This window comes from Homo sapiens, chromosome 11, assembly GCF_000001405.40.
Source record: "Homo sapiens chromosome 11, GRCh38.p14 Primary Assembly".
Lineage (NCBI taxonomy): Eukaryota > Metazoa > Chordata > Mammalia > Primates > Hominidae > Homo > Homo sapiens.
In genome coordinates, this window is record NC_000011.10 from 117,357,025 (window position 1) to 117,369,860 (window position 12,836).

Sequence of the window (12,836 nt, forward strand, 5' to 3'; positions counted from 1 at the left end):
GCAGCCTACCCCAAAGCTCTGAACTTTATTTCTTCTCGAAATCAGACAGAACTAGAAAGTTAATATTATTTTTTATTTTTATTTTATTTTTTAGACAGGGTTTTGTTCTGTTGCCCAGGCTGGAGTGCAGTGGATCTTGGCTCACTGCAATCTGCACCTCCATCGCTTGAATCCCAGGTTCAAGTGATTTTCGTGCCTCAGCCCCTCAAATAGCTGGGATTACAGGTGCTCACCACCACTCCCAGCCAATTTTTTTGTGTTTTTAGTAGAAATGGAGTTTTGCCATGTTGGCCAGGCTGGTCTCGAACTCCTGGTCTCAAGTGATCCACCTGCCTTGGCCTCCCCAAGTGCTGGGATTATAGACATGAGCCACTGCACCTGATTAGAGAGTTAATATTCTTTTTTTTTTTTTTTTTTTTGACAGTCTTGCTCTGTTGCCCAGGCTGGAGTGCAATGGTGCCATCTCAGGTCATTGCAACCTCCACCTCCTGGGTTCAAGCTATTCTTGTGCCTCAGCCTCCTGAGTAGCTGGGACTACAGGCGTGTGCTAACACACCTGGCTAATTTTTGTATTTTTAGCAGAGACGGAGTTTTGTCATGTTGGCCAGGCTGGTATCAAACTCCTGACCTCAAGTGATCTGCCTGCTTCAGTCTCCCAAAGTCCTGGGATTACAGGTGTGAACTGCCGTGCCTGGGCTGAGAGCTAATATTCTTATGAGAGACGGAGGCCAGAACCTTTCTCTGCCATCCAGTGAGCTGCTTCTGCTCTTTGCCTCCTAGGGTCCCCAGAAAACCACATGGATAACCTGTGTCAGGCTTGTGTAGACCATATTTGTGACGTCACTCTTGAGTTCACTTCCTCCTCTACTGGGATTTATCAAATGGCTGACCTTGCCCTATCATTCTACCTTTGTCCCTTTAAAGAGTCACTATATTCTTCATTCAGAAGTCAAGTTGGATCAGAGACCATGGGGATCAATCTGAATTTCTCCAGCTATTCTTTTGTTGTTGCCCAGCTGTGGCTTTATCCAGTTGTTCCCTCTGCTTCCTAATTGCTGGCTTGCACTGGTTCTCTGTTAGCTTTAATAACTACTGTAGCACTATAAATATCGGATAAGCTGCAGATTATCCTGAAAGTTTTAATTAGCCCAGTGGCAGTAAGTCTATCTGCTCTGAAGGACAACTCCACGCATAGCCCCATACTCAGAGTTAATGGCCATCTATAGAAGATGATCAGCTAGGAGCCAGGAATGTATAATTTCTCCACTAATCGCTGATTTGGTCAAGGCCTGGGAGAACAAAGCCCTCAGCATGCTTGTCTCCCTCCCTCAAGCCCCCAGCATGTTAGCAAATTAGCCAGCCATGTTAGGAGTCTGTATTTCCATAAATACAGTGTGGGGATAATTTTGCTTGCTGATACATAGGCTGGTTTGAAGGGCTGAAACCAGGAGGGGCATGCCTGGTTTGCCTAGTTAACCTTGAAGAAGCTTTCTTGGGCTCTTCCCCTCCCCCGGCCTTTTTTTTTTTTTTTTTTAAGAGACCAGAGTTTTGCTCTGTTGTCCATGCTGGAGTTCAATGGTGTGATCGTAGCTCATTGCAGCCTTGAGCTCCTGGGCTTAAGCAATCCTCCCGAGTAGCTGGGACTACAGATGTGTACCACTATACCCAGCTAATTAAAAATTATTTTTTTGTAGACATGGGGTCTTACTGTGTTGCCCAGACTGGTCTTGTACCCCTGGCCTAAAAGTGATCCTCCTGCCTTGGCTTCCGAAAGTACTGGGGTTATAGGTGTCAGGGACCATGTATGTCCTAGGCTCTTCTTTCTGCCACAGCCAGAGCTGGTATAAAGTACTGTCTTAGAGATAGCCTTGGGTTCCAATCCCATCTCTGCCCCTCACTGGCTCTGTGACTTTGGGCAGGGTTCTTTTTTTTTTTTTTGAGACAGGGTCTCACTCTGTAACCCAGGCTGGAGTGAAATGGCATGATGTCACCTCACTGCAACCTCTATCTCCCAGGTTCAAGTGATTCTCCTGCCTTAGCCTCCTCAGTAGCTGGGATTACAGGCACCTGCCACCATGCCCGGCTAATTTTTGTATTTTAGTAGAGACAGGGTTTTACCATATTGGTCAGGCTGGTCTTGAATTCCTGACCTTAGGTAATCCGCCTGCCTCAGCCTCTCAAAGTGCTGGGATTACAGGCGTGAGCCACCACGCCCAGCCTGGGCAGGGTTCTTGACCTCACCAACCTCCGTTTGCTCGTATGGGGACTGTGGATAATGGCAGAGCCAGTCTCAGGTGGTTGTGAGAGTAAAATAAGACATTGTACGGAAGGTGTTTAGCCAGTGCACTGCTGGCTGGTGTTACGATTATCAGCTCGTTTTCTCCTTCACAAACATGTTCTACAACAGGCCAGATGATTGTGGACCTGCAGAAGCTCAGGAGTGTCTCTCACCTTACTTTCCTGATGAGCATCTGATGCAGAAATGGGCCCTGCTGGGAACCCACCCACCGGTCTGGCCCCTAGGCTGAGGCTACAGGTGAGAAGATGGATCTTCTGAACCTCAGCCTGACCGCCTCTGGGTTTCCTTTTCTCTCTTCAGTCTTTGTGGGATTAGGGAGGATTGGAATTTTTGTGTCATCTTAGACATTTTAAGTTTGAGAAATGAATTTTGAAGGGGTCTTTGTAAATTGTCACCAGATTGCCATCCTTGCTTCTGATAAGCCTAAATTATTGTAATGTGAATCCCTGTGATGGTGGCAATTTTATAATGCTGGTGTAGCCCTGGGCCACTCACAAAGGCCCCTAGCACTCATCTCCTTGAGCTTCTCTGCACACCTAGTCAGGTGGCAAGGCACACATCATCTCCATCTTGCGGATGAGTAAACTGAGAATTGGAGAGTCTGTGAGTAGCGGGAGGTCTCACGAATTCTGACTCGTAGCCTGATTTCTTTCCCCAGCCCTTGCTTGCAGGAAGGAGAACAGGGAAAAGAAGGGACCTGGTCAGCCCCACTACTGCCCTTCGGCAAGGCTCCTTTCAGCCACCTTCCTCATCAGTGGAGAGGGGAGAGAGTCCTTCTTTTGTTGCTCATGTGTATTTTTTTTGTAGTTAGTGTTGATTTTTTTTCCAGACAGGGTCATTTTTATTTTTTAGAGGCAGGGTCTTGCTCTGTCTCCCAGCCTGGAGTGCAGTGGTTATATCTCACAGTGGTTCTATCTCACTATAACCTTGAACTCCTGGGCTTAATTGATCTTGCCGCCTCAGCCTCCCAGGTAGCTAGGACCACAGGCGTGTGTCACCATGTCCAGCAAATTTTTTTAATTTTTTTGTAGAGACAGTGTCTCACTGTGTTGCCTAGGCTGGTCTGAGATAGGGTCTTGTTCTGTTGTCCAGACTGGAGTACAGTGGTGCCATCATAGCTCACTGTAGCCTCCAGCTCCTGGGCTCAAGCAGTCCATCCTCCTCAGCCTCCTGAGTAGGTGCGACTACAGGTGCATGCTACCCCATCTGGCTAATCTTTAAAATATTTCTGTAGAAATGGGGTCTTGCTATGTTGCCCAGGCTGGTCTTGAACTCCTGGCCTTAAGTGATCTTCCTACCTTGGGCTCCCAAAGTGCTGGGATTACAGATGTGAGCCACTATGCCTTGGCCTTAGATTTTAATCAGAGTAGTGCATGTCCGTAGTTAAAAAAGTCAAATAGTACTAAAAGGCATATAAGAAAGTATAGCACTTCACTGTACAGAGCTCTCCTCAAAGGCAACCATTCTGTTGTGGTGTTTACATCCATCTTTGTAAATAATACACTTAGACTGCTTTTTCTTGACTCATCAGTTTTAAACTTTATCAACTGAGAATTCTTCTGGTAGATGAGGATTTGTCTCTGCTTTCCCCTCCCGCATCCTTCTTATATGGCTTTTTTTTTTTTTTTTGAGACAGAGTCTCGCTCTGTCGCTCAGGCTGGAGTGCAGTGGTGTGATCTCGGGTCACTGCAACCTCCGCCTCCCGGGTTCAAGTGATTCTCCTGCCTCAGCCTCCTGAGTATCTGGGATTACAGGCATGTACCACCACGCCCAGCTAATTTTTGTATTTTTAGTAGAGACAGGGTTTCACCATGTTGGCCAGGCTGGTCTTGAACTCCTGATCTCAGGTGATCCACTCACCTCAGCCTCCCAAAGTGCTGGAATTACAGGCGTGAGCCACTGCGCCTGGCTTTTTTTTTTTTTTTTTTTTTTTTTTGAGACAGAGTCTTGCTCTGTCACCTGGCTGAAGGGCGGTGGCGTGATCTCGGCTGACTGCAACCTCTGCCTCCCGGTTTCAAGTGATTCTCCTGCTTCAGCCTCCCGAGTAGCTGGGACTATAGGCACCCGCCACCACGCCCGGCTAATTTTTGTATTTTTTAGTAGAGACAGGGTTTCACCATATTGGCCAGGCTGGTCTCAGACTCCTGACCTCGTGATTCACCCGGCTCTGCCTCCCAAAGTGGTAGGATTACAGGACTGAGCCACCGAGCCCGGCCTCCTATATGGCTTCTGAAAGGAGAGCAGAACCCCACGCAGCATCTGCCAGATGTAAAAGAACTGTTTACTGTGAGACAGCATGAGACTTATGAGAATCAGGAAACCAGCCTGTGATTTCTCACACAGTTGGCACAATGGTAATTTCTGGATGTTGTGTTTCATTAGCAGCCTCTGAGCGGAGGTGGTTTAAATTTGAGCGTGCAGGATTTAGATGTTTTATTTTTATATCTGTCTCCGACACTCCCAGAGCCACCTGGTTTCTTGAGTTGTAACAAGATGTTTTCTGTTGCACAGGCCTTGGGTTCCTCATTAGCCCCAGTTCATGTTCCTCTTGGGGGCCTGGCTCCTTTACGAGGTCTTGTGGATACCCCACCCTCTGCTCTTCGTGGATCTCAAAGCGTGAGCCTGGGGAGCTCAGTGGAGTCTGGACGTCAGCTTGGAGAACTCATGCTGGTAAGTACGTTCTCTTGCGTTCAGTGTCTGTAGTTCCTGTGGGGCCTCCCGTGTGCCATACCAGGAACTATGGCCTAGGGGTGAGAAATAGACAGAATCGGTGGAGTCCTCAGAGTTCGTAATCCAGTTGGGAAAATGTAATTCGCACCTGTATGAATGTGGACTCTGGGCTGTGGAGGATAGACCCATGCTGTAGGGACATCAGTGCTGATTTCCAAGTCTCTGCAGCCAAGGCAGTAGGAGTAGGCAAAGGGAGTCATTGATGTGAGCTGCAGTCGCCAGGTCAGCTTCATGGACATGGTGGCACTTGATCTGGGAGACATTGACATAGAGAGTGGGGAGGAGCATTCTAAAGGTCATTCCAAAGGTCTTCCAAGTGAGTCCTTTGACTGTCCTTCTCTATTTTGAAGCCTTCACAGGGTCTCAAGACCTCTGCTTATACAAAGGGTCTCTTGGGCTCCATATATGAGGACAAGACTGCTCTCAGCCTCTTGGGTTTAGGAGAAGAAACCAATGAGGAGGATGAGGAGGAAAGTGACAACCAGGTAATGATGAAGTCCTCTCCCTGGCCTGGAAACCCTCTGTGCCATATTTTTTCCTTTTGAAAATGTTTTTGCTGTGATAGAAAAAATATGTAACATAAAATTTGCCCTTTTAACCATTTTAAAGTTAAAATTCAGTGGTATTAATTACCTTCACAATGTGTGCACCCAACACCACTATCCATTTCTTTTTTTTTCTGCACTCCCCCGCCGCCACTATTCATTTCTAGAACTTGTTCATCATCCCAAATAGAAACTGTGTACCTATTGAATGATAACTTCCTATTCCCTCTCCCTCCATCCCTGGAAACCTAATCTGCTTACTGTGTCTATGAATTTACCTATTCTAGGTACTTCATATAAGTGGAATTATACAATGTTTGTCCTTTTGTGTCTGGCTTATTTCACTTAGCATAATGTTTCAAGCTTCATCTATGTTGTAGCATGTATTAGAACTTTGGTCCTTTTTAAGGCTGAATAATATTCCATGGTATGGATATGCCACATTTTGTTTATCTACTCATCTGTCGATGAATATATATGGGTTGTTTCCACCTTTGGCTGATCTCTGTGCTACTTTTTAAAAAAGCAAGAAGTTTTTTTGGCCTACAGCTTCATTTCTTGAGCAGTCTATTATGTCTTCTAGATCTGATCCAGAAAGTACAGCCAGCAGAAAGCACCTTGGCCACTTGCTTGTTGCACAGCATAGTTTGCGCTGGATGGAGAGCCGTTTAGTGAGGCTGCCTCAGTGGTGGTCCTGCTCTGAGTCCTCTGAAGCCCTGCCTGGGCCCGCCTGTCAGCTCAGCAGTGCCCCACTTTTCCCTCTGCACACCCCTCACCCTGGGTTGACCAGTTTCTTCAGAGTTACCACTTGTCATCATTTTTGTTTCTAGAGTGTCCACAGCTCAAGTGAGCCTCTTAGGAACCTACACCTGGACATTGGGGCACTGGGGGGTGACTTTGAGTATGAGGTAAGAGCCCTAATCCCTACAGGCACATGTGTCAGCCTGGCATATCCCTCCTGTTTTTATTAAGCCCTGCTACTTTGTTGTAATGCATATTTGGAAAAAGAACCATTTTGTCCCAGTCCTTCCAGATGAGATTTCTGGGGTTTGGGGAAGGACAAGAATAAATGAATGGATTCCTGTCCCTTCCAGACCCTGCCTCTAAACAAACAAACATCAACACTCATTATGTTATTGTAATACCTAAAACCTCCAATGCTTTTTTTTTTTTTTTTTTTTTTTTTTTTAAGAGACAGAGCCTCACTCTTTTGCCCAGCTTGGAGTACAGTGGTGTGAACAGAGCTCACTGCTTTGAATTCCTGGGTTCAAGTGATCCTCTGCCTCAGCCTCCTGAGTAGTTAGGACTACAGGCATACGCACCCATGCCTGTCTACTTTTTACATTTTTTGCAGAGATGAGGTCTCTCTGTTGACCAGACTGGTTTCAAACTCCCGGTCTCAAGCAGTCCTTCCATCTTGGTCTCCCAAAGTGCTGGAATTACAGGTGTGAGCCATTGTGCCCAGCTATGTGTTTTTGTACTTAGAAAGGAGCTTTCCCTACCATGTATCCTTTGTTTAGTGTCCAGTGTATTCATTTAAATATAACATTTCTCTAAATATTCCCTAAGTATTTATACAACCAATGAATCATGAACTCAACAATTAGATTTCCCCAAATATTTAAATATTTGTTGCAGGCTCAATCAGTTAAACTTTTCACAAGTCTAATATATCAAGTTCTTTTAAATACTTTCAATACCTTAACATCAAACAAGTCACTCACACTTTATTAGAAAGATCACAAAACTGGCCTGTAAAACTTTAGAAGTGCTTATATCCTGAATTTAAATTTGTTTTCTCATTATCCCTTATTATTTCTGACTTGTTTCTTGGAAATCACTTTACCTTAAGAGCCAGGATTGGTGTCTCAGGCCACTTGAAGTTTCAGATGTGCTGGCTGATAGCCCCTGATTTGGTACTTGAGACCTGAGTTGTGGGTGACCCAAGTCTAGCCATTGGACAGGGCTTTTTTTTTTTTTTTTGAGACTGGGTGTCACTCTGTTGCCCAGGCTGGAGTACACGTCAGCCTCCCAAGTAGCTGGGACCACAGGCGCCCGCCACCACACCCGGCTATTTTTTGTAGAGATGGGGTTTTGCTATGTTTCCCAGGCTGGTCTTGAACTCCTGGGCTTAAGTGATCCACCTACCTTGGGCTCCCGAAGTGCTGGGATTACAGGCGTGAGCCACTGTGCCCAGCCTAGGACTCTTTTTGTAGTTAGACTTTGCCTGTAACCTCAGAAACTGTTCAGCATTTTGGCTCTGCACAGTCAGATACCTTTTGATTATGACTTTACAATTTCTTGCCAAATGTGACACTTTTTTCTAAGTGTCCCGTTTTTATTATCAAGCTGATATAGGTCTGCTTTGAAACTGTTCCTTCTGAGTGGGGCCTAGTCTGGAAGGATTAAATCTAAAGCCTTCAATCTGTTTAGTTCCCTGAAATGACAACTTTATTTTCTTCTCCACCACCAGTAAGACCTATATTGATCAAAGGAGATGCTCAGGCTTTGTGCCTAGAAGGTTGACCATGTATAGGACTAGGGGTGTCAGAGGACTTATTTGCTTGTGGAGGAAGAAGACAATCTCTATGAGAATGAGCAAGTTGAGGCTGGAGATTCTGCCCTATTCATTTCTGTATGGCCAGGAAGCAACTAGCCTGCTGCCTCTGAAACATAGGAAGTGCTTGGGTATGTTTTGTTCAACAATCGAGAGAGTGAACTTGTGAATGAGTGAATGAGCCACCTCGGGACAGAGAGAGTGTCCAGGCAGGTTGTGTCATATTTTTTTCTTCACTTGGCTTTTCCAGTTTCTGGATAGAGTGGGTACTTGGTCCCTGCTGTCAGCTGGTGGATGGAAGATCCTGATGTGGATTGATCATGATTTACTTTGACCTTGGGCTTGTTAACATTTACTTCATAATGGATTGTAAATGTCAACAAAAAAGGCTTTTTCTTCTTTGAAAGGTGGATTTCTTTCTTTCTTTCTTTCTTTTTTTTAGATGAAGTCTCTCACTCTTGTCCCCCAGGCTGTAGTGCAATGGCATGATCTTGGCTCACTGCAGCCTCCACCTCCTGGGCTCAAGGGATTCTCCTGCCTTAGCCTCCTGAGTAGCTGGGATTACAGGCGCCCGCCACCATGCCTGGCTAATTTTTGTATTTTTAGTAGATACGGGGTTTCACCATGTTGGCCAGGCTGGTCTCGAACTCCTGACCTCAGGTGATCTGCACGCCACGGCTTCCCAAGGTGCTGGGATTACAGGTGTGAGCCATCGTGCCCAGCCTGAAGGGTGGATTTCTAAAAGCTTTCCTTCTGATGACTATGTGCTTCTTTGGGGGGAGTGGGGACTTTTAAACATTTTTATAACCTCTTTAATATAAATAGGCACCCCAGTGTGATGAGGGGAAATGTCTGGAGTGGGTGGTGTTAAATACACCTCCTACCCCTGTCTCTAGCATCCCCGCAGATTTAGTTCTTTTTGTCACATGGAGTGTTGGATTCCTATGTTCTAACTTAAGGCAGGAATCAGGGCTTTTCCTGTTGGGAGTGTTAGTGGTGGGGGTAAATGGGGGGTTTCAGGATAGCCAGTGCTGCCTCTGCTTGGTCCCTGCTCTTTGAAAATGGCTTTTGTCTCAGTTTACAGTCTTTGGATTCTCTGAACTGCCCACCTTTCCCCACTCCTGAGTGTCCCAGACAGCTTACGATGGAGATGGACTTCTGAGGTTAGTTCTAGCCTGTCTCACTGAGCAGTCACTTTGCTCATGATTCCATGAGAGGGCAGTAGGATGGCAAGAATGCATCTCTTCTCGTCTCCTCCCTCCTCTCCTGCTTTCCAACTTAAACCCACTTCAAGTCTATTACAGACTGAAGAGAGAGAGGTTCATGGAACCGACACTGAACAGGGCGAGCAAATCCAGGAGGCTGAAGGGTAGGCGAGCAGACTTTATGTGGCCATGTGGTGCTGGTGAAAAGCCCATCAGTGGATCAAAGGAGCAGGAGGGAGCCTGGGCTTAGAAATAACAGGATGATGTCAGTGCGATTGGAAAGTGCTAACAACACTGGGGAGCTGTGCAAAGAATTGAGACCAACTGGGCAGGAATAAATCTGAAAAATAAATTGGACTGATGATCAGCTTGATGGGGGTCTCTGCAGAACACGGTCAGTGCACAGACATAGGTTCAGCTCCTTATCCTTCATGCCCTGTCCCCTGTGCTGTGTGGATTACAGGGGTCCTTGTCTTTGTGCTCTGGGCAGAAGAACCTCATGGCTTTTGGGGGGCATGTTAAATATTCATGAAATGATTCTTATAAGCTCTCTCCTGCTCTCTCCTCCTGCAGATGGTAAAGTCTTTTTTGAAAAAGCAGCAGAAATGTGCCTTGAGATGCTCAAGGACCTGGGGCTGTGAAAGGAGGAGACAGAAGGAATGTGAGCAGGGATGAGCTGAGGGCAACGCTGTGTTGAGACTGAGGCCCCGCCTTTGCCTGCATTTCCCACAGAGCCCAGGGCAGGAGACTGGACTTGGGTGCCCAGAGTGTATACCTGGTTGGAGCTTCAGGCCTTGGGCCAGGAGACAAGGGGGCAGGGGCCAGGTGAAGGGAGATGCTCATGGAGTTGGATGGCTTCTCCAGACACTCAGCTCATGTACATCCATTTGTGGATAATCTACAACAAATGCTTCACCTCCTTCTGCTTTCCCCACCCTTGAGGTGCTGTCCTGTGGTTGCAGTTAGTCAACATGGTGCAGAGAATGCAAGGTCATTCATTTTAATACTACCCACGTTTTACTGTTTTAGGTAAGGCAGACTAGCATGAGCCCATCATGTGAAAATTTTCTTTTGAAGAATTTAAGCATAAGAATTGAGCTGGGCCTAAGATTATTGCAATTTGGCTATATTCTCTCACGTGTAAGAATGGGAATCTCTCTCTTTTTAATTTTTTTTTATTATACTTTAAGTTTTAGGGTACATGTGCACAACGTGCAGGTTTGTTACATATGTATACATGTGCCATGTTGGTGTGCTGCACCCATTAACTCATCATTTAGCATTAGGTATCCTCTCCTTTTAATTTTTATTTTAAGTTCAGGGGTACCTGTGCAGGTTTGTTACATAGGTAAACTTGTGTCATAGGGGTTTGTTGTACAGATTATTTCATCACCCAGGCATGAAGCCTAGTACCCGTTAGTTATTTTTCCTGATCCTCTCAAAGATGGGAATCTCTACCTGTGTCCTGTATTCTCTGATTTTTGATAGGTTACTTGTTTTTCCATCATCTTGAATAGTTAATTAATAGCTAACATTTGCTTAGCTATTTTTCATTTAATAAGCACTGTAATAAATATAGTCTAATCCCTATATAACCGTGTAAAGTAAATATTACATCTCCTTTTTGCAGGCTAGGAAGGGAAGCCTCAGCTCCGATCTTTTTATGACACACTTATTCATATTTAACAGTTTGGTCAACAAACCTTTACTAAGCACTTGTTATGTGCTAGAAACTAAGTACTGAGGACAATAGGGAGCTAATTTGGTGACAGAAACAGATAAGGAAATTAGCAAATACAATAGCTATTAAAGTATATGATGGGGAAGGCTCATTTCAGGTCAGCTGACCCAGGGATCAAGAAAGGCATCCTGGAAGAGGTGATGTGGTGAGGACCAGGGGGAGTGTGTCGGGGTAGTATGTGTGTATGTGTATTTTAGGAATTGCATGGCAAAGTACTGAGTTAGTGTGATGTTTATCCACAGGTGGGAGGAGAGGGTGTCTGAGGGTTTGCCTGGAGGTGAGCCATGAGAGGCAGGCAGGAGCTGGGCCTTAAGGGCTGTGGGCCAAGTAGGAGTTTAAATTTTATCCTGAAGGCAGTAGGGACTATTTATGGTCTGATACCTCCTTTGCCCTCGCATCTAAGGTGTATTGGTAGGCAGCCCTCTTAGGACCAGGTTTCACTCCCAACTTCAAGCCGGGGGGAGCCTTTCTTTAATCTTGGGATGAGCCTGGCCAGGGTGGGTTGGCCCTGCTTGCCGAGTGAGGGGGTGTGGTTGGCCCGGCACCCTTTGCCCACCCCAGGCAACTCCCACCTCCTTCTTGGAGTCCTTAGAACCCCACAGACTGGATATGAGCTTCTGCTGAGAATTGGCCTTTGGTTGTATAGAGATGAGAAGGCCATTAGGCTCAGCCTGAAGCTGCTTCACTTGAAGAGGAGAAGTTTGTCTCCCTTCTCTTAGCCCAGTGGTCCTGGCAGATTTATTCCATGCTGGAGGTTAGGGATGCTGGGAGGGGTAGCACTGGCGGGTACCTGCATGCATGCTGCCAAGGCGTGAGCTTCCTTCGTGCCTTCTCTACTTTCCCTTCTGCACTTCTTTCTGGGACAGGGTTGGGCCTGATGACAGTATCACCACTGTGTCTAGTGGCCTCTTTGCTTTGGGCAGTCAAGGCTCATAACCAAAGCCATTGGGAACATTTCACTTTTCTCAATATTAGCTCAATTCCTTGAGGGCAGGATCTATGGTTTGGCCATATTTGGATTCCCAAGGCAGTGTTTGGCACATAGAATGTGCTCAGTGAATGAATGTGTAAGTCTCATTACATAACGTAAGTTAACATTCGTGGGACACTGACAGTGTGCCAGTCACAACTCTGAGTTCCTTAACTCACTTGATGAGTGCTAATTCGTTTATTCTTCCCAACAACGCTCCTTATGGGGTAAGCACTACTACATCCCAGTATTTTAGTGAAAGAAACTGAGGCACATAGAAGTAAATAATTTGCCTAAGGTCACACATCTGTAAGTGTGGAGCCAAAATTTGAGCCTGGGCAGCCTCTGTCTCCAAAGCTGAGCTCTGAATGACTCTGCTTTACTGACCTGTGTAATCATCCCTAGGAAGCCTGGGTTAGCTTGTCAGTGGGCTCTCAGGCTTGCAGGGAGAGGGTCATTTCTTTGGGCACAGCAGACACTTTAACAGAGCATCAATAAATGCCATGCTTAGGGCTTCTTCTTGGACCTCTCCACTCTCTAGTCATCATGGTCCTTGAGTCTTCAGAACAGGGAATCAGGAAGTCTTAAAAATCCCTCATTGGAAGTTATTCAGTCTGGCAGCCCAAGTGTTAGCACAGATGTTTTCTAGGAGGAAGGCTTCTCAGCCCAAGCCCAGCAGAGATTATTGGCTGTATTTCCAAGGGAGGGTTTTATTTTTCTCTTTTGACTGACTCTAAGGAATTTAGTGGAAGCAGCCTTGGGTTTTTACTAGTCTTTAAAGTGAGGTTT

General features: G+C 46.0%; 1 protein-coding gene across 73 annotated transcripts in view; it reads left to right on the plus strand.

Moving 5' to 3' along the window:
- CEP164 (centrosomal protein 164) overlaps positions 1-12,836 on the plus strand; it is a 91,489-nt gene that overhangs the window by 35,247 nt on the left and 43,406 nt on the right. For 45 of the 73 annotated variants that reach the window (NM_001271933.2, XM_006718788.2, XM_047426570.1 and 42 more), the window contains 3 exons: positions 4,811-4,969; positions 5,380-5,514; positions 6,405-6,482. In NM_001271933.2, coding sequence (NP_001258862.1) covers positions 4,811-4,969; positions 5,380-5,514; positions 6,405-6,482 — 372 coding nt within the window. The remainder of the gene's footprint in view (positions 1-4,810; positions 4,970-5,379; positions 5,515-6,404; positions 6,483-12,836) is intronic. The other 28 variants (NM_001440972.1, XM_017017371.2, XM_017017372.2 and 25 more) reach the window with 1 other exon arrangement.